We start from the raw sequence: 21,612 nt of genomic DNA on the forward strand, positions 1-21,612 counted from the left end.
CCAGGCTGACCTGTGAGTGGACGACATTGCACACGCCCTCCTCGCTGGGGTGGAAAAGGAAGCTGTCAGAATGAGCAGTGCGACTCACCAGCTGGGGTACCTCCAAGTAAAGAGGCCTTCCTTCCAGAACCACTGTAAGCCAGCATTGCTGTTTTACATAGAAGAAGAAAGGTTATAGTTTTCATAAGGAAATCTCAATGTGAATGCCAGCAATATAAAGATAATGCATGTCCACCTGCTTTAAGATGAATTGTGGTTGCTTTTCATATTTCTCACTGAGGAATGATCAGGCATTTATCTAGTAAATGCTTAGAAGGTGCTTCTCACCTTGACCTGGACTCTGATTTCCCCATGGTTGTGCTTTCGTTGATGGTGTAAATCTGCACCTGCACCAGCACCAGCAATTCCGAGACTCCTGTAAGAAATCAGGGAGGATCCCTGGTTCTTGGCATAGGAGCAGGTGTGTGGTCAGGGGGATGACAGACCCCACAGAGTGTGGTCCACTGAGCAGCTCTTGGGGAGGATGAAGATGGGAACAAACAAACAAAAGCAGGTGTGAGAGCTCTGAGCAAGGGAGCAGGTCATTCACACTTCCTGGGCCCCTGGGTTGGTTTCTTTCCTGCAATAAGGAGTGTGATATTTCTTCTCGGGGGATCCTGAGTTTGAAAATGTCTTGTGAATGGTAATGTCTGGGACAAATATCCTGTCCTGGAGCAGGAGGAGGTAAGAGGGGGACAGACTGCGACCATCATCAACCATCTGCTGCTGGTGGACCCTCAGGAGCAGAGGATGCAGGGGTGTGGGGGCCTGGCTGGGGAGCCTGGGCCTTGCAGTGGGTCCTGTGGGGTCCCCAAGTCCCCTTGGCTCTCCCTGGGCCTTGCAGGGGGTCCTGTGGGGTTCCCGAGGCCCCTCAACTCTCCCTGGGTCTTGCAGGGGGTTCTGTGGGTTCCCCGAGGCCCCTCAACTCTCCCTGGGCCTTGCAGGGGGTCCTGTGGGGTCCCTGAGGCCCCTTGACTCTCCCTAAGGTTTCTTGGGCATCTATTGGTAGTACTTTACCCCAAAACCCCCATCACAGGCTGGGACGCTCTCCCCAGCAGAAGAAACAGGGGATTGGGTTCAGGCCCCCTTAATCTCCCCACCTACAGCCAAGCCCTGAGCTTCTCAGAGGTCATACCCACATTTCAGATGGTGACAAGATAATCACTGTGATGAGGTCACTCCCAGCCACATGGAGGAAGAGGAGGAAGAGGAGGAGGAGGAGAAGGAGGAGAAGGAGGAGGAGGAGGATGAGGAGGAGGAGGAGGGAGGAGGAAGAAAGAAGAGGAGAGAGGAGGAGGAAAGAGGAGGAGGAGGGAGGAGGAGGGAGGTGGAGGGAGGAGGAGGAGGAGAAGGAAGATGAGGAGGAGGAGGAGGAAGAGAAGGAGGAGGATGAGGAGGAGGAGGAGGGAGGAGGAAGAAAGAGGAGGAGAGAGGAGGAGGAAAGAGGAGGAGGGAGGAGGAGGAGGGAGGAGGAAGAAAGGAGAGAGGAGGAAGAAAGAGGAGGAGGAGGGAGGTGGAGGGAGGAGGAGGAGGAGAAGGAAGATGAGGAGGAGGAGGAGGAGGAAGAGAAGGAGGAGGAGGAGGAGGCAAGTTTGCTCTCAGAGTTCAGGCTGGGAATCATTATGAACATGTTGTGTTAGCCGACCTCCCAGGTGAAATCTAAGTGAATGGTTAACCTCACTTCCTCATTTTTGGGCTTGTGCATTTGAGGGAGCACAGCCCGAGTGGAAGCTCCCAGACACAGGCTGAGCTTGTTCTATCAGCCTGATATCAATCGGCCCCTCAGCATTGCAAAGGCCGGTGGTGCCGGGAGCTGGCAGCCCTGGCATCGTGTATTCCAGGCTAGAGATTTAATTCTGAGGCCTGCCCTTACTGTCTGTGACCTTGGCTTCCAGTGAACCCTCTGTTCCTTCTTGTAGATGGAGAGAAGGCCCAGTGAGGCGTGCAGGACTGGAGTTCAGTGCCGTGCTGGGTCGCTGCATTGCCGGAGCTTCATGCTACCTGTCTCTTCCCCAGCCTGAGCTCTTTCTTTAAATAAAGCAAAATAGTTGAATCCCAAATGAGGCAAAAAAAAAAGCTGGACTGCAATAATAGACAAAAGGTCCTTCCAAGACACCATTAACTGATGCTGCTACCAAAACCTAAGGGAAGAGGACCTGTTCAGTTGTTTCTCACTGTTGCTGACGTTGCTAGAAAACCTGGCAGCCTCTTGGTCTTGGTCTGCCCTGCAAGAGTGTGGGGTGCTGGTTCTGCCATGTGCAAGCTACGCTTGGCAACTTACAAAACCAGCCCAAGCTTAAGCCTCTTCATTTGTCTTTAGTGACTGTGACAAGGAGATGAAACCACACACATACACACACCCCTGTGCACACCTGTGCACACACAGACACACATTTGTGCACAACACAGGCACACACAGAGCACAGGGCCTGCTGCAGAGTGGAGCAAACAGAAGCTCCTGTTATTTTTACTGGTGTCGGGCATCTCCCTTCTGGGCATCTTTGGAGGAAGGAGTTCTTCCTCCTCCTCCTCTTGCTCTGCTCTAAATCCTGGGGCTGACCCTGCAGGCTGTGCTTCCTAGGCTATTGGGTCCTGGACAGGGATCAGCGCATGAGAGCAGTGCTGTAGGGCTGGCTGGTCCGCAGGAGGCAGGCAGGCCCCCTCCACCTCTGCTTCAGGTTGTCTCTGGCTGTGGCCCCATCTGCTCTGTGGCCCCAGCTTCCCTGGTGGGTCCCTGGTCCTCAGCCTCAGGGGCGCCACTTCTTGCCTTTGGAGCTGTCTTGTTAGATGTTATGTTAGTCACTAAGGTAAGGAAGGCCAAGTGGATGTCCCCTGCTGTGGTCTGAGTGTTCCTGCTTTCACAAGACTCATCTGTTGAAACCAAGCCCTCCAGGTGATGGAGTTAGGAGGTAGGGTCTCTGGGAGATGATTAGGTCATGGGGCACAGCCCTCATGATAAATTAGTGCCCTTAGAAAAGAGGCCTCAGGCCGGGCACCGTGGCTCACGCCTGTAATCCCAGCACTTTAGGAGGCTGAGATGGGCAGATCACAAGGTCAGGAGATCGAGACCATCCTGGCTAACACGGCGAAACCCTGTCTCTACTAAAAATACAAAAAATTAGCTGGGTGTGGTGGTGGGCACCTGTAGTCCCAGCTACTCGGGAGGCTGAGTCAGGAGAATGGTATGAACCCAGGAGGTGGAGCTTGCAGTGAGCTGAGATCGCACCACTGCACTCCAGCCTGGGTGACAGAGTGAGACTCCATCTCAAAGAAAAGAAAAGAAAAGAGGCCTCACCTCCTTCCACCATGCAAGGACACAGTGTGAAGGCACCATTTATGAACCAGGAGGTGGATCCTCACCAGACACCAAATCTGCTGGCACCTCCATGTCCATAAAGTCATCTTGGTCAATGTGGGTAAGTCACACCTACTCTGAGCCCTCAGAAAATGATGTGGACACCAGATTCCAGCCAGAGAAGGAATACTGTCCTTGACAGAGGTCAACCTGTCTTAGACTTCCATCTTGATCTTGGACTTCCCAGCCTCTAGAACTGTGAAAAACAAATTTCTATTGTTTATAAGACATGCAATCTATGGGATTTTGTTATAGCCACCTGAACAGACTAAGACATTCCCCTTCTAGTCACCACAGTAAATCAGAAGCAAGAATGCACTTGGAGTGCAACAGGAGAGAGCTCAACAGGAGAGATCACTAAGGGAGAGATCACAATGGGAGAGATCACAACAGGAGAGATCACTACAGGAGAGATCACAACGGGAGAGATCACAACAGGAGAGATCACAACAGGAGAGATCACTGTGGGAGAGATCACTATGGGAGAGATCACTATGGGAGAGATCACAATGGGAGAGATCACAACAGGAGAGATCACAACCGAGGAGAGATCACAACAGGAGAGATGAGATCACTACAGGGAAGATCACTACTGCCTTGAAAGACTTAAGCAGACGAGGAGGGGGGTTCCCATAGCACCCTCAATGTAGTCACTGGCCCAGCCCCTCTCAGAACCAGGTGGATGACTGCAGATAACAGTGGCTGCTGCAAATTCAACCAAGTGATCGTTTCAATCATAGTTGCCTAGTGTGGCCTCTTTACTGAAAGAGTTTCTGGCATTTGTACGCAAGACAAAAATGCACTGCCATCAACCTCAGTTCCATTCAATATGTCAGGGAACCCCAGAAAGACGGCATCCAGAGAAGCATCTTGCACAGTGGCTATGCTTCCCCCTGGACACTCAGTCATCAGCTCTGTGGCTGGAGGCAAAGACATGTTTGGACTCCCAGAGCCTGGTGAAGGCTCAGCTATGTGGTCTGGGAAGAGGAGAGAGAAGGGCTGCGTCCTCCCAGGTTGACGCCTGTTGAGGACTGCGTTTCTTCTCTGGCTCAAATCTGGTGCACATCATTTTCTGAGGGCCCACACTGTGTGATTTACCCACATGGCCTAGGACCACTTTATGGAGATGGAGATGCGACAAGGGGCCCACACCAGTCACCTGCCAGCCTCCCTTTGTCTTGGTGGCACAGAAGCCGTCGGCTGGATGCACCCTGGAATGTCAGGAGGAGAGGAGGGAGGTGGGTGAATGCTATTTATTGCATGCTACCCTCGGACCAACGGCTGCAGCAGCCACTGTCCCCTGCCCCCCTCACTCTCCTGCTGTCTTTTACTGGGTTTGGTGATTACCAGAGGCCACCTCCTTGAAGGGTCAGCAACATGGCAGAGCCAACTGAGGTGGGTGTGGATGGATTTGGGCAGCTACACACCCACCGTGGGCTGCACCACTGCACCCTGGTCCGTCCAAGGACCACACACAACTCTGTCTGTGCTTGGACTTTTTGCTCATCAAGCACAGGCAGCCCTCAACCAAGGAGAGGCAGGCACAGGTGAGAAAAACCTCCCTGATCCTGGCCAGTCAGTGGGACTGTCCTGAAGCGCTTGCCCAAACCATCTGCTAGAGGGGCCCAGCTCATTAACCCTAACTGGCTTCCCTGCTGCCTGCCTCTCTGCTCCCTTTTCTCAGGTGGGGACAACCTGCCTCTCTGCTCCCTTTTCTCAGGTGGGGACAACCTGCCTCTCTGCTCCCTTTTCTCAGGTGGGGACAACCTGCCTCTCTGCTCCCTTTTCTCAGGTGGGGACAAGGACAGTGGGTTTTTCCCTGCACGGTCTCACTTTCCCACTCACAATTCACACACATGACTCCACACATTAGAGTCCCCAGCCCCGTGGGGCCCAGCTGGGGGAATTCTGCTGGTCCCACCCCTGGTGATTCCTGTCTGCCGAGGTGGTGTGGCTGCCGTGGGGGTGACCGCTGAGAGCCCCCCGTGAGAGCAGCTTCTGACAGGACAGAGTTCAGCCGCCCCACCCTTGAGATCTGATGCGTCTTCCATTCCTGGGCCCACTCTGCCACCCACATCCTGACCAGGGCCGCATGTCACGGACGTGGATGGCCGGCCTCTGCCCCCAGCCTGGGGTCCCCTAACGGGCAGTCTCTCCTCCGGAGCTCCCCATCAGCTGGGCTGTGGGGCCTCCGTCCGTCCTCGGCTTTTCCTGCCATCTCTCTGCTTCCTTTTCTCCATCTACAGGTGTCTGGCCTGCACCGTGGCCTGAAGCCCTCTAGCCTCTGGCTTCACCTCACCTTTACCCACAACGGGTACGTCCCAACCAATCTCCTGCAAGTCCGATTCCATCTCAGCGTCTGATTCCTGGAGGACCCCACAGACACTGTGTGTTTCCGAGCCTTCTTAACACCTCATTGAAAGATTTACAAATAAGGGTTGTAGGGCCAGTCACGGTGGCTCACGCCCATAATCCCAACACTTTGGGAGGCCGAGGCGGGAGCATCACTTGAGGCCAGGAGTCCAAGACCAACTTTGGAAGCATAGTGGGTCCCCCATCTCTACAAAAAATACCAAAATTAGCCAGGTGTGGTGGTGCATGCCTGTAGTCCCAGCTATGTGGGAGGCTGAGGTGAGAGGATTGCTTGAGCCCAGGGGTTGAAGGTTACCATGAGCTCTCATTGCGCCACTGCACTCCAGCCTGGGTGACAGAGTGAGACCCTGTCTCAAAAAGAAATAAACGAATAAATCAATAAGGTTTGTGCTCAGTGCACAGATCCACCAGACTTTAGTGTGCTGGACCTACTGAGGGTCTCGGGGTGGACCTGAAGGCATCAATCAGAAAGGCCCCCAGCTGCTCCATGCCAGGCCCATAAGGAAGAAACAGAGGCTGGGGCGGTCGCTCACGCCTGTAATCCCAGCACTTTGGCAGGCCGAGGTGGGTGGATCACCTGAGGTCATGAGTTCGAGACCAGCCTGACTAACATGGAGAAACCCCACCACTACTAAAAACACAAAATTAGCCGGGCATGAGGTGCATGCCTGTAATCCCAGCTACTTGGGAGGCTGAGGCAGGAGAATGGCTTGAACCTGGGAGGCAGAGGTTGAGGTGAGCCGATGTCACGCCATTGCACTCCAGCTAGGGCAACAAGAGCAAGACTCCGTCTCAAAACAACAGCAACGACAACAACAACAACGACAACAAAAAACAGAGGTCAGGATCTGTTCCGGGTAAGGCTCAGGAAGGAGAGACTGGCAGCGCATGGGTGAGAGCGTCTCCTCCAGTCGGGTGCCTGCAATGTGAGCACTCGTGAAACAGGGGCTCTGGGAGGAATGTGTGAGGGTGGGCACCGCGTCAGGGGCTTGGTGTCATGGGCTGAGGTGGGTTGGCCAAGACTCATGCGCTGAAATCCTAACTCTCATGCCCCAGGATGTGGCCGGACTTGGAGACAGGGTCACTACAAAAGCAACTGAGTTGAAATGAAGCCGTTGGAGTGGCCCTAATTTGATCTGACTGGCATCCTATGAGAAGAGGAGGTTAAGGCATAGAGAGGCACGCAAAGGGACAACTGACTGAGGACATAGGGAGAAGACGTCATCCACTAGCCAGGAAGGGAGGCCTCTGGAGGAACCAGCCCTGTGGACAGCTGGATCTCGGACGTCCAGCCCCCGAGAAGGGAGAGGATCATGTCTGTGGCTTAAGCCACCCATCTGCGGCATTTGTTATGAAGCCTCGAGCAGACTGAGACCCTAGAGTTGGGCGTGAAGGCTGAGTGGGTGATTTCCACTTAAATGGCAGGGCTAGATTTGGAATTCCAGCTTCCCAAGGCCCCAGACGGACAGGCAACATCTCTGTTTCTCCTTCCTTTTCTTCCCAGCATGGAGACCCCAGTGGCATTGTTGTTAAAACCTGCTTTCTGAAAACTGCCTTTGTGGCCGCAGGAAGCTCACTGCTCCTTTATCTCTCTTATCGAATTCCTGATGCTGTTTCCATGAAAGAAGTCGCGACGGAGCAGCCAGCTGGCCAAGGTCAAATCATCCCTCCATGCGATTCCTCCCTTCTTCTGAACAGGCTCTTCCTGCGGCCCGTGTCAGCCGAGGCAGAGAGCGACAGAGCTTTTCACACCAGGAGAGCATGTCCTCTGTCCTCTGTGCCTGTCTGAGAAAAGAAAAATTTAGATCACTCCATGTGTTTGAGGATTAGTCATTAGAATCATCTGGTGAGATAAGCACCTGAGTTTAATTGTGAGTTAGAAAAAGAAAGTGATTTAAGCATCACGTAACAAAGGTGGTGTGATATGAACTGCAAATGGGGTTTCAGATACACCTTCCCAGGAGCATGTCTGATACGGGCGGGGCGGAGTGGGCCAGAGGCTCCCGGCTGTGTCTCTAATAGCACAGAACCCAGGAGCTGGCAGGGACGAGTGTGCCCGGACCCAGCCGGGCCATCCTGCTGGACTGCTGTGCGAAGGACAGGAAGCCAGTGTGGCTGTCACGACCCTTGTCCTTTTTGCCCTGGGCTGGGAGCACCGAATGGACTCACACTCCACAATGGGATTCCACAATGAGAGGATGGAATTAGATCAGTGGGTTTCAAACACTAGCATTCCAAGGAGTGTCAGGTGCCTGGATAGAGTCTGGGGAGAGCAGGGGCTGTCAGGAGAACAGGCACAGCCTCGCGTCAACAAGCCCCTGTAACAAAGCACCATAGACGGGCGGCGTAAACAGCGGGTGTTGGTTGTCTCAAGGTCCTCAAGGCTGGGAGTTGGCATCAAGCTGTTCATAGGGCCGGTTTCTCCTGCGGCTTCTCCCTGTGGCTTGCGGATGGTGTCCTCTCCCCCAGCCCTCAGGGCCATCCCTCGTTCTGTGTCTGTGTCCTAATTTCCTATTCTTGGACTCCAGGAAGGTTGGATTAGGGCCCACCCTGTCGGCCTCCTTTGACCTTAATTACCTCTTTAGGTGCAGTCACATTCTGGGGAACCAAGGGTCCAGGCTGCAACAGATGAATTTGGAAGCAACGATCAGCCCCCTACAGCCCTTCTCCTTCTCTTGACTTTTACAATGGCTTTCTGTGTTTATCTGCTTTTACACATTGGCGTTTGGGGTAAAATCACATTTGAAAAAGTGGTTTGATTCATCACGAAGGTCTGGAAAACCCCGAGATGGACGGAGGCTCCACCTCTCTATGGGCTCTCGCTTGGAGCTTCCCCTTGAGGATCCATGGGGGATGGGGGCCGGCATCTCCAGGGCCCACGCTGAGGCCATGGCTCGATGGAGGTGGCTTCTTAGTGGGGCTGAGGCCCCCGGGGTGCATTGCTCTGAGAAATGCCGGGCATCAGCAAACCCGGTCCCTCCTGGCTGGCCAGAGCAAAAGGCTTCTCTTTTTCTCCTTTAACCAGAGAAGAAGGTTCCATTCCATGTGGCGCTGTGGCTCTTGGTGGCTGTTACAAAGCCATTTCCTATCTTCTGAAGTCTAAGTAAGGAAGAGCAGGGGTTTAAGAAGACCTGAGTCTACAGCCAAGCTTGTCCCGGTTTGCTGGGTGGTGGAGGCCCATGTGGGCTGTGCTTCTGGCATGTTCTCCCAAGCCACAGTGGGAACAGGACCTGGCCGTGGGAGTTGGGAGCCATGGAGGACATGTTCCACTGGTCTAGAAGCCGAATCGAGTGCTGTGACATTGTATCCTGACCCACAGCAAAAGGAGTTGGCTCAAATAAGAATATTGATACCGTCTCCTAAATCTTCCCATTTCAATAGCTTAAGTTGGGCTGGTTGGGGTTGGATTGGTCAGTTCCTGATGCAGAGCAAATGACAGACCTTTCAAGACTGTTTTCTGATTCTGCCAAGTGACCGTAAGAGAGGGCAGAGGAAACAGGTGAGAATCCCTTTTACGATTGTAATCAACCCCCTCCTAAAGACAGGTCTGCTTTTCCGAGAAATACATTATCCTCTGGAACATCCAAGGATATTTTCTCAGTAAGAAAGAGAAATGGGGCCGGAGTGAATCCAAAGAAGGTGGGAAAAGCAATACCAAGATTCAGTCCTTACGACTTTGGGAATATTGCAAAATTAAACAGAACGTGACTCCCCAGGGCTGTTGGATACATTTGGCCTCTGACTCCGGTCAGTTCTCCACCTGCTTCCTCTCTCTTTATGGGATGAGGGATAAGGGAAGGGGGTGGGAGGGTGCAGGGCACAGAGGTGGGGGCACAAGCTTTTGGAATGTTATATTATTATATATGAATACAGACAGTAACACCAACTGACTCCAGCAGACAGCTACCTCCAGAATTCCTATTAATAAATATCAGAGACCTATTCAGACGTTCCCGTGTTCTGGCCTAGGACCTTTTGGAGGGTGGACGGCTGATTCCTCGGAACCTACAAACTAAAGAAACAGAAGCTGCCTCAGAACCCAGACTCCAGGCCCTGCAGGGGTAAGGGCTCTACTTTTCCTGCTGTGCAGCTTCCTGAAAGCTGTCGGATGCAGGGAGACTCCAAAATCCCCATCGCGCTGGAGTCCAGCGCTGTAGCGGGAAGCTCTCATGGACCTACCAAGACACTTCTTTTTAACCTCTGTGAACCCTGACACTCATTTCTCAGTGTCTTCTATTAGAATCTTTTTGCTTCATTAGAGTAAGTCATGTTCCTGCAACATACAGATTTCTTAAAAGGGCAGGTGTGTCTTATATGCAAATCCTAACACATACAGGGAATTGGTTAATCACTCAGATAATGTTATTATCATATATTATTATATATTAATATTATATTAATGTTATATATTAATAATTATATTTTTGTATTATCTGAATGATTAATTCCTCATGTGTTAGGATTAGCATATAAGACAAATTAACAGTGACTAGTTAATCTAAATAATTATTTAAATTGTTAATTTATCAGTTAATTATTATATATTACTATTAAGCAATGAATATTTATTATTTATAAATTGTAAATATTTGTAAATTATTTATTAGTATTAACTATAAATTATTGTTTATTATTAAATTATTAATCAAGATAATTACATATTTAATGATATAAATATTTTCTTCATACTTTGTAAAGGAGTAGCTAATCAAATTTCTCTCACAGACTTTAAAAACAGTTGTGAAGAATAAGGTTAAAAGACACGCGTGTACGTGGGGCTGTGAAATAGGTCTCTGATATGTATTAATAGGAACGCTAAATAAGGCAGTCTAGGGAGAAATGGGAGCCCATGCATCAGAAGGGAAAGAGATGGGCTGGAGAGAGATTTCGGAGGTGGAGACAAATGGCTTTGCACTACTGAAGGCAAGGAAAAAAAGAGGGAATTAGGAACGACTCCCGTGTTTATGGTTTGAGCTGGCAGGGCCATGGGGATGGATTTTGTCATGATAAGGCCACTTTTCGCAAGAGTGTTGTTCAGTTCTGTTTCTGGGGATTGGAAAGCCAGAGTGGGGATGTCATGATAAAACTACAATTGCGAGACAAACGCTCTCCTCTTCCCCACCCAGGTGAATATCTAGTTTACATATAACAGGCTTTTTAAAACTTCATCTGTGTCGATTCTGAGGAGCTGAGCAAAGGAATTTCTTCTGAAATCCTGGTTGTTCTCACGGCCTTCACTTCTAATGACGACTATGCAGTCCATTTCAGCAGCTTATGAAGCCGTTGAAAATTCCCCTTGCTTTAATAGGAAAAACCAAGATAAGAGTAAAAAAAACAAGATAAGATTTGATGGATAGTTCAGGCATGAAGGCAACAGGTATTCATTCCATTTAATCTTTTCTCTCTTGTTCCGTAGAACTTAAAAAGCTAATAATTTACTTCCGCAGTCTCTCCTGCAAGAACACCATCCCAGCCAAGCAAAACGTATGGCAGGTCAGGATGACTGGCACATAAATCAGAGTCAAACAGAGTTTCACTTCAACTCAGCAAAAACTGTGGATTTCCTTTCTCTGACTTTTTTCTTTTTTCTTTCTTTTTTTTTTTTTTTTTTTGCACTAAACAGTCTTCTTCAAAATGATGCTCAAAAAACTGGTACTATCATTATTATACTTTGCTTTGTCTATTTTTTGGCATTTTTTCAGGAATGGATCTAAAATTATTTTTGGCCTGAGCCATGCCTTGTTAAGATGCAGATCCTGAGCCGGTGGGTCTGGAGTGAGGCCTGAAGTTTGCATTTGTAAGGAGCTCATGGATGCCGCCCTTGCTGCTGGTCCGCGGGAACATGTTGGGTAGCAATGTCCAGGGGCACCTAGGGGTCCGGGAAGCCCTGCACAGCTGCTCCACTGAGGCAGGGCTGGTTTTGTGCCCCCAGAACCCACGTCAAGGGGTAACTGGATGGGGGCTGCCCTGGCGAGGCTGCTCCTCAATTCTGCACACCACCCAACTGGGCACGGCCAGTAAATTCAATTCAAGTCCATTCAGAGCGCAGCTGAGGCGAGGCCTTGTGTGGTGGAAGGAGAATGGCGTTTGGAGCCATCAGACGTGGGTTTGGGTCCCTGCTCTACCACTTAGAGGCACCAGCACCGTTTGTTCAACTTTACATTTATTATGTGAAATCCACAATATATATCACCTCAACCATATAATTTTCAAAACAGCAAGTGAGATACTATGTTTGCAAAGATTTTGCCAATAATTCTTAGTTGGTTCTCATGACCTTAAGTTGTGATCAAATCCAAAACTCATACTATATTTTGTATAGTTCTATTTTTGTAACATAGCTATTACATAAATGCAAAATGCTGTTGAATGTACGTATATGCGTAGACAGAGGATAGATGATAGATAATTAGACGATAGATAATAGATAACATACAGATGATAGATGAAATAGTTATAGGTTAGGTAGATGATGGCTAAATTGACAATAGATCGTTTAGATCGATAACATATACAGATAATAGATAGATATGGATAGATAATAGATATAGATAATAAAAGATAGATTTGGAATGATAATAGATAGATAATAGATAGATGATAGATAAAGATAAATGGATGATAACTCATCAGGCGTAATTTCCTTATTCCCTTCTACATTTTGGCCTATCCAATTGGGCTGTGGGTGTGGCCCATAGCCACGTTCCTGTGCTGAGTCAGCATTTCTCACTGCGCGAGTTCAGGGGGAGCTGGTGACCTGGGCAGGGCCCCTGAAGGTGAGAGGGTCTCCATGCCGCAGCCCACTCTGCCTACCTCTCCAGCACTCTCTCCTTTTTGCTTGCGCTGCTTATTCTGGCTGAGGAAGGGACAGGAAGGGACAGGAAGGGCTGAGAGGTTAACCACACAAGTGAAGGTTGATGGGAACTCTTGTGGTTGGGTTTCCTGGTAAAAGACCGAGGCAGAGGTTCTGGGGAGGCTCTCGTGGAGGGCAGACAATGCCCACAAGGGGATCCCGACAGCTTCCACGGAGGCTCAGGACTGGAAGGGCCCTTCAGAGCAGCCCTCACTGAAGCAGAGGAGTGGGGCTTGTGCCCCCAGACCCAGTGGTAGCTGGGCAGGGCTCCCCTGCAGGGCCACCCCCAGGCACTGCACGGAGGCACTTGCCATCAGCCTCAGCAGCCCACAGTCCTGGGAGCTGGATGCCAGGACCTTGGTACTGAATGGGCACCACCTTGCATGGCACAGGAGGAGACAAAATCTCCGGGCATTGATGGGCATCATGCTGTGGCTGCTGCAGAAGACATGGCCTCCTCAGAGCGCCACGGCAAGACAGGGGACCCAGCTCCTCGTCACTGTCATCTGGGACTGAGCGATGTGGGTCAGGACTACAGGAGCTTCTCTTGAGTAGGCACTGCTGGTCTCTAGGTACCATGGAATCTTGCTCTTGAATTAGCTCTTAGCAGGCATGAGCCAGGAAGAGGTGTCTCCAGGCAGTCAGTGTGATTGGTGTGATTGGCATGTTCAGTGTGATTGGCATAGCTGGTGTCCATTCTAGGAGAGAAACTCAGGGGAGTCCCAGGGCCACACCCTGTTGTGCAAGGATGGTGTCCTGCAGCACAGCACAGAGCCAGAGGTAGGATGTAGGTGGGGCACAGGTAGGATGCAAGTGGAATCCAGGTGGGACGCAGGTGGGAATGCAGGTGAGATGCAGGTAGGGACGCAGGTGGGATGCAGGTGGGACGCAGGTAGGGTGCAGCTGGGACGCAAGTAGAACTCAGGAGGGATGCAGGTAGGATGCAGGTGGGACGCAGGTATGGTGCGGGTGGGACACAGCAGGGACTCAGGTAGGGTGCAGGTGGGATGCAGGTAGTCGTTGAGACAGGTGTGTGCACTCAGCTGTGTCAATAGCTCTGGACCTCAGTGCTGTGCCTGGAGTACCAGAATATGATGGGTCCCAGAGGGAGGGCTGCGTTCAGATGAAGACTGTGAATGCTTAGTCCCAGGGCTGTGGCCCTGTAAGGACCAGAGATGCCGCCTGGAAAATTCTGTAGTGTCCTGCGCCAGCTGGCCCATGAGGGTGTGAATGTGCAGCCCTACAGGGCGTGCTCCCGGGACAGACGCACTTGTTAACAAATCCACGTGGATGTCGGAGAGACTGAGCCCTGAGCCCGAAGCCCAGCTCTTTCACTGAACTGTTGGGCAGCTTTGTGCCCTTCCTCAGTCTCTCTGAGCCTTAGTTCTCTCCTTGTAGGCAACATATCTGTGCAATAATAATTCCTGCCTTGACGGTCATGGAAAGAGTGAACAAGATCTAGCTCCTAACATCACCCAATTAGGTTCCTTTCCTTCCTTTTCCTTTCTAAGCTTAGGGAGAAAGAGATAGGAAAAGCAAGTGGGAAAAAAATGCTGGCAAAGCAGACAACAGTGTGTGGCACCTGGCGCCCTCACAGAGAGCGTGGCCGTGGCCTGCAGCAGCAGGGAGCCGTATACCTATGCCCAGCTCCCGGAGAGGGGCTAGCCTGGGCCCTGGGCTCTGAGCCCCCGTGGCTAGCATAGCACTTGCACCTCTTGGTATAATCAGGACACCTTGGCATGGAGGGAGGCCACACTGTGCCCCCAACCTCCTCCATCTTGCCACCCCAGCAGACTCCAGGGACTGGGCCTGACTTTGCCCAGAAGTGTGAAAAACCCAGAGGCAGCCTCCTCCTCCCACGTATGATGTCTGCACACAAGGGACCAGGGTCCGGGCTGTGGACGTGGCCACCGCTGTCCCCTGCAGCAGTGGATAAGGGCGGCAGCTACCTGGTGGCCCCTAAGTCGCTCTTAAGCCAACTCTTCAAGCTTCCTCTTGTTCAGCTTCCTGCCCGGAAGCTTGCTGGGCAGTTATTATCCACAACGAAAAGGTGTGAAAAGGAGTAACTTGGTTCTCAGTCCTGCCCCAGATGAGTCAGGTTTTTTTTTTCTTCCTTTAAAATTGAAAGTAAATGGATGGCTTTGGTGTTATAAGGGCCATTCTTATCTGATTGTTGCATTAATATGATCCTCAAAATCGACCGAAGGAGGATTAGGATAAATATTTTGTATTAAAAAAGGCACTAACTTCAGTTGAGATAGGGTTTTAAGTTTTAGAGCAGAGGGAAGAGAAAAATGGCAATACAAAAATGAAAATGTAAATAAAGATTTTCATCCCAGCGAGACTGGAATACGCAGGTCTTGCCCTTGGAAGGGGTTGAGCTGTGTACTGTCTCAGCGGAGCGGTGTGCAGATCCCCCATCCCTGGCCGCTGTCAAGGAGTGTTGTGGGTGGATGCTCTACTCTTGTGGGGACCAGCTTCCTGCGTTTGCCTTCCTTGCTGTCAGTGTGGCCTCATGTCCCTGAAGAAGCAGGGCTCCCAGGGCCCCCCAGCCAGCGTAAATGTTAGCACTGTTGGCAGGGATGATAGCCACTGGTTTTCAATCGTACCTTTACACACACTCCAGATCCTTTTGAGTCTTATTTTAACTATATCCCCTAGATAAAGGGACTCTCCTAAGAAATATGATGTCCTAGTTTCACTACCAACCCCACAGTCTTTGGGTTTTTGTTGTTTGTTTGTTTTTGAGACAGAGTATTGCTCTGTTGCCCAGGCTGGAGTGCAGTGGGGCACTTGGCTCACTGCAACCTCTGCCTCCCGGGTTCAAGCAATTCTCCTGCCTCAGCCTCCCAAGTAGCAGGGATTACAGGCACGTGCCACTACACCTGGCTAATTTTGTATTTTTAGTAGACAAGGGGTTTCACCATATTGGCCAGGCTGGTCTCAAACTCCTGACCTTGTGATCCTCCCGCCTCGGCCTCCCAAAGTGCTGGGATTACAGGCGTGAGCCACCACGCCCAGCCTGTTTGTTTTAATATTTACTGAAGGTCACAGTCACATTTTATAACTTATTATATCTGAATTTAGAGTGATTATACGCTGTGGATCTCAGGGCCTAATGTTAATTCATACTTCGGGGAAATGAAGAGTATGATAAATTCAGGCCAATGCCGGCACCTCCCTGCTTTTCTGCATGGTTTGAGAATTGACCCAGCAGTTCAGTCCAGTTTTGTGTAAGGAAAGCTCACAGTGGCCGGGTGAGGAAGCCAGGGGCTGAATACTGAAGCCACACAAAGCGTGGACTCAGCCCCTCCGCGGGAGACAAAAAAGATGGATGTGGACGATGAGAGATGCCCTTGACATCGTTCTGTGAGTAGTTAGCGCTTTAGGGGCAGCAAAGCCCTCAGCTCTGCAGAGCTGCAGAGCTGCAGAGGGGAGGCGGATCCCAGCGATTCTGAGAAAGCCTGGCTTCAGGAGGAAGTGTGAGAGAGCAGAGACTTGAGTGGACCAGGGAGTGCAGAGGATGGGAAAGGAGGCGGCTCCAGGGGAAGCACGGGACCAGGTGGTGCATGCGGGGCGAAGGGAGGGTAGTGTCCCATGTGTCCGTGTCCTGGCCAGGCGTGGCTCACTGTGTACCGTGACCTCAGTGCCGGCGGTGGCTCACTCTGTGTGTCAGCTTTGTGTGTATCTTCCTTTTTGAGCTACTATTGAGCCTGGATCCTCCAGCCCCTTTGCATTCTTGGTCCGGGCCCTGACTGCCAAGCTGCTGTTCCTGTTCTAATATGTGCTTGGTTTTCCTGATGAAACTCCCCATCCCAAGCAGACACGCATGGGAAACCAGCCCTGCTCAGGGCTCATGGCCCTGAAGACGGCCGTGAAGACGATGTATTACAACCCTGGGCCCCATCACAAATTAGATGAGCTACCTTAAGGGTCCTTTATCCGCTGTGGCCTCTGTGCTCTGAGGTAAAAATAGCAGAGTTTGATTGAGGGCTACTCGAGATGGCTTAGCTCCGGAGAGTGATGAATGCTTCATTGTTGCCCCCAAATGGGCAATTTTCTCTGACTTCAAACAAAATGTAGGAAGGTAAAGGTAAGTTAGCAGACAAAGGAAGCACCTCCAAAAGCTGCCCTAAGACACAGAAGCCCGGTGCTGGACCCGCAGGCTTTCTGGGACAGTAGGACCCTGAGGGCTCTGAAACCTAGTGGCCTCATGGTTCTGCAGGGGCCCGTGCTCCACCTGCGCCATCCCTTCCCCGCTCCGCCTGCTATCCCTTCCCCCTACACTCCTATCTATCACCCATACAGCCCATTTTCCTTCCTGTAATACCTGCCACACCCAGGTTCACCCAAGCTGTCTTTCCCGGGAGTCCTAGAGTGAGCCTTGGGGAGAAGGGCCCCACACGTGTTGCTGAGCCCCACGCACCCCGGGGGGAGACACGACCCCCGCGGACTCACTTCCCATCCTCATGACCTTCCAGGATCTCTGCCTGGTTCTTTGTACAATCACGGAGGAGACAGCTGAAATGTTCCCTTCGGGGCATTTATAAACCGAGGTCGCTTCCTGTTTTCAGGAGGAAATGCTCCTGGAGCTGGGGAGGGCTGTGCTGCCGGGCGGGCGAGGCTCCCATCCTCTGAGTCACCCGCCCCGCTGTCTCCCCTGGGGACCACACGCCGTGCAAATCCGCCATCCATCCATTACCGTCCATTATCAGATGGAAGGCTTCCAGCCCCTAGTGAGAAGCAGGAGAGCACTAATGTCCACATGGGTACAAAGTTATTGACCATGAACTGAGGAAAGGTATTTTTTTTCCTCCTTTCCCCTGTGATTGGAATTACTAATTAGATCAACATGAAATTAAAATGATTCCAAGGCTGAAACACCTGGGGAAGAATCTCTTGAAGTCCGTTTTTTCATCACTGGGCTGAGACTAAATGATGCTGTCAACATGCCAGATTATTTCAAATTAGCTAAATTAATTAATCTAACTCAGTCTTTGGCTATATTAATCATCTGTTTTAGGTTTTTATGGGAGAAAGAATATGTGACTGTTTCAGCATAGTGCATATAGATGAACTTCATAGGCAGGTGGCTTTTCTTCTGCTCAAAGCTGGTATTTTGAAATCTAGGCAGTAATAGGGTTCCCTCAAATACACTCAGTAAATTTCACAGTTTCTTATTTTATTTTGTTTGCGTTTGAAAAGATCTACCTTTCTGCTGTTAAGACTGTAAGAAGTGAGTGTTATTTTTTCCTTGAGCACTGAAAGGTGTTGAAAAGACGAGCTCATATGCAGCCCATTTTTAGGATGATTCTCTTTTAAATGCCAGAAATCCAGAAGTATCTACCTAAGAAGAGAGAGCTGTTGAAGTTCTTTATGGACTACAGTAATCCAAAACTCTCCAGAAATGTCCAAAGCTGAGTCGTTGGTGAGGAAGCAATGTGAATCACCTATATGTGATGGAGGTGAATATATATTATATATATATTCACAATGGAGTCCACCTACCAACGCCTCTGAGTCCAAGACCAGGGGCTCTTCCTGCACAGTTAGTGACGATGCACACTGAACTTGCGTTCTCAATGTATTCCTCACAATTTGTCAGGAAATGCTTTGCGTGGAAAAATAATGATGGTGGAGAGACCAGGCACCGTGGTAGGACATGCAGCCTGTGTGAAGTAGGGCCCATTATTTTCACCATCCTACAGATAAGAAAATCAAGGCGAGGTGTCCCAGTTCACAGTCATCTCATCATGATGGAGCAGTGGGGTGCTCGCAGGGAAACATGTTGCTGCCCCTGAATGCTGAATTTCTATGACACCGGGTAAAGGGGAGGGGCCTGCAGAGGGGCAAAAGCAGGTGGAGTGCAGCTGCGTCTTGTCCTCACTCCTGGGCTCCTGGCAGGGTCTGAGCTGGGCACTAAGTACAGTCGTGGAAAATGGCCTGGACTCTGAGCCAGGAGCTCTGACCTCTTCCCTGGCCTGGCTACCATCTTGAGACAATATCTCTGGGCCTCTGTTTTCTCAGAATGAGTGATGTAGACTCCGCCACCCTCAAACCCCTGGATGCCAGGCGTGCAGTTTTCTGGAGCAAGTAGAAGAGTTACTTTTTTTTTTTTTTTTTGCAATCGCTTTTCCCAGCCATCCTGGTTCATAGGACACTGGCAATGAAAGCCATTATTACCATTCCTGCTAGTGATGCTAATGAGAATAATTTGAATTCATTTGACACGTTTCCTGGAAGGGGCCCAGATTTTATGATTATTGCTCATCTCTGCACTTTGAGATTCTGGCTGAGTCCCAGAGAAGTGGAAAAATACTGTGAGAAAGGTTGAACTTGTGGTATTTCTGGGTTGACTGGATACAGGAAGTACAGCAATCTTAGGGAAAAACATGTTTACATATTTCTCTGGATATGTATCTATATATCCTTTTTAGGGTTGGGAGGGTTGATGTTTACCGAAAGGTTTGAACTTCAGCCTCAAATAGCTGATCCCTGACCCACATTAGGTTTTGCAAAATTGGTTCAGCTGCCCCCCAGGCAGTTCCTGTAACGTTTTGGGAGGCAGAGAAGGAAAGGTGGCCTGCACTTCAGTCCCCAGGGGCCATGAAGAAGGCATTTCTGGGAGGCAATGGGCTAGAACAGGGACTTTGCAAAGTCCTGTGGAGAAGTAATGCTTACATGTTTGCCACTGCTTGTCAATATTTGTCTGGGCAATGACTAGACAATGAAATGCACAAATATTATGAAGTATTTGGGGATTTTGTTTAAATTATTTCAGGGAGAGAAGGTATCTTTTCAGGACATTGGCAGATGGGATTTAGAATGGTCCCAGATGGAATTATCCCAACTAAGGTGCCTCTCCCAATCCTCAACCTCAATTTTCTTTTAATTAGTGACCGCCATTTTTTTCTGTTATATCCAGCTCAAAACTTTTTGGTTATTCTGATATTTATCCTGACCTCAGCATGTGCCTGACTTTCTGTGCCATGTTATCTTGTACTTAATTCAGGCCTGCTTCATGTACATTTTTTTGACAAAAGAATTGATTGCAAGCATGGACTTAGCGTTAAGTTCCTGCTTTCTAATAAAAGCCTCCCTTTGTAACCCAGGTCAAGCATTTCAGAGATGCGCACAAAATCAACACTTCCTATAGCGATTATGTGCGCATTATCTTTTGGTGGAATAATGCTTTCACTGGAATAATAACGTTATCTTTTTTAAAGTATGTTAAAAAGTTGAAAACGTTAGGAATCTAGGTTCTCCCTTTAGACTGCACAGCTGATGCTGAGATTGGAAGTAATATGAGAGACATAAATAGGGCCTCAATATGCCTTTGTTTAAAGATATTAGGATCATTTTGGCCACCTACAGCAGTCACAAAAAAATCACAGGACATCTGTGAAGCATCCCTACAGTTGGCTCACACTTCACAGCCAAGCACACATTTTTATTAGATGACTTTGCTTTATTCCATCTATTTTAACAGCTGTACGCTCCATGGCTTCATAAATCTTATTCCTGTGAAACACACAGATTTTACCAGCTAGTGTACTCATGACCAAGACTTTTACCTTGAAGCAATCTTCTTTTACATGACAATGGATTTAAATGCTAGGCTGGCTTCTGTAATGTATGCACTAATGCACACACTACATACACTGACACACACACAAACACGTATGGACAATTTTGACCACTAATGTTATGGGTAAAATTGGCTCTCCACTAAAATTCATGTGTTGACATCCTAGTCTCCAGTCCCTGAATGTGACCTTATTTGAGATAGGGTCATTATGGAGGTAATCCATTTAAAATGCGGTCATTAACGTGGGTCGTAACTCCCTATGGCTGGTGTCCTTATAAAAAGAAAAAGTTTGGGCACAGAGACATCTACAGAGGGAAAACGATGTGAAAAGACACAGGGAGAAGACAGCCATCTACAAGCCACAGGAGAGGCCTGGAACAGATTCCTCCTCACAGCTGGGAAGGAGCCGACTCTGCCAGCACCTTGGTCTCTGCCTTCCAGGCTCCAGAGTTTTGAGAAAATAAATTGCTGCTGCTTAAGCCTCCCAGTCTGTGGTACTTTGTTCTAGAAGCCTGAGCCAACTCACAACTAGTGGCACAAAGCTGCCAGCCGGTGGATAATGCCTTTCAGCAGCTGCAGAGGCGGAGGTGGGGACGGTCAGTGCCAGGGTCCCTCACCCCAGCAGCTGGGTGTGACCTGCCTCTGGTGTTGGACACACAGGATTTGGACTCGGGGCAGCTATGGCGTCAGCAGAGTCTCTGTAGACCTGCCTGTGGGATGAGGTTGGCTGTGCCTCCAGATTCATCTCTGTTTGTCTTTACCCATTTTATTTTTTTTTTTTATTTTTGAGATGAAGTGTCACTCTGTTGCCCAGGCTAGAGTGCAGTGGCATGATCTCAGCTCACTGCAACCTCCGTCTCCCAAGTTCAAGTGATTCTCCTGCCTCAGCCTCCCAAGCAGTTGGGATTACAGGCATGCGCTACCATGTCTGGCTAATTTTTATATTTTTAGTAGAGGGGCCGTTTCACCATGTTGGCCAGGTTGCTCTCGAACTCCTGACCTCAGGTGATCTGCCCACCTCGGCCTCCCAAAGTGCTGGGATTACAGGTGTGAGCCACCGTGCCTGGCCTGACTTTACCCATTTTCTAAGCCAAGCAATGGCTCTTCACAGATATATTTTCTTCTTAGATCATTCAAAGTTACTGTGGGTTGCAACTGACAATCTTGACTGATACAGAAATTGGTACCAAGATTTGTTGTAGCCAGGAGGCTCTGGAAATTTGAGATGATTCTAAGAATTTTCTTAGGCTTAGGTACCTAAATTGAAGGAACAACAAAGAACCATAAAAAATAAATTTCAGTCGCCAGGAAGTTCTTCATATTGAAGCCGTCCTCACAGAGTTAACAAGAATTCTGGACAGAAATGTAGTTATAGTTAAGCATTAATCACGCTGCACTGTGGCC

At 49.7% G+C, this 21,612-nt stretch overlaps 1 long non-coding RNA gene across 1 annotated transcript in view, besides 1 other annotated feature; it reads left to right on the plus strand.

The window, feature by feature from the left end:
- The window catches only part of LOC105376360 (uncharacterized), a 432,070-nt gene that overhangs the window by 88,730 nt on the left and 321,728 nt on the right, over positions 1-21,612 (plus strand). The gene's annotated exons all lie outside the window — the stretch shown is intronic.
- Positions 12,795-13,294: an enhancer, noted in NCBI's record as "H3K4me1 hESC enhancer chr10:3462411-3462910 (GRCh37/hg19 assembly coordinates)". NCBI's record gives its function as "activates a minimal SCP1, AML or CMV promoter by ChIP-STARR-seq in naive H9 embryonic stem cells {active_cell/tissue: H9 hESC(naive)}" and the evidence as "EXISTENCE:reporter gene assay evidence [ECO:0000049][PMID:30033119]".

This window comes from Homo sapiens, chromosome 10 (assembly GCF_000001405.40).
Source record: "Homo sapiens chromosome 10, GRCh38.p14 Primary Assembly".
In the NCBI taxonomy this organism is placed as follows: Eukaryota; Metazoa; Chordata; class Mammalia; order Primates; family Hominidae; genus Homo; species Homo sapiens.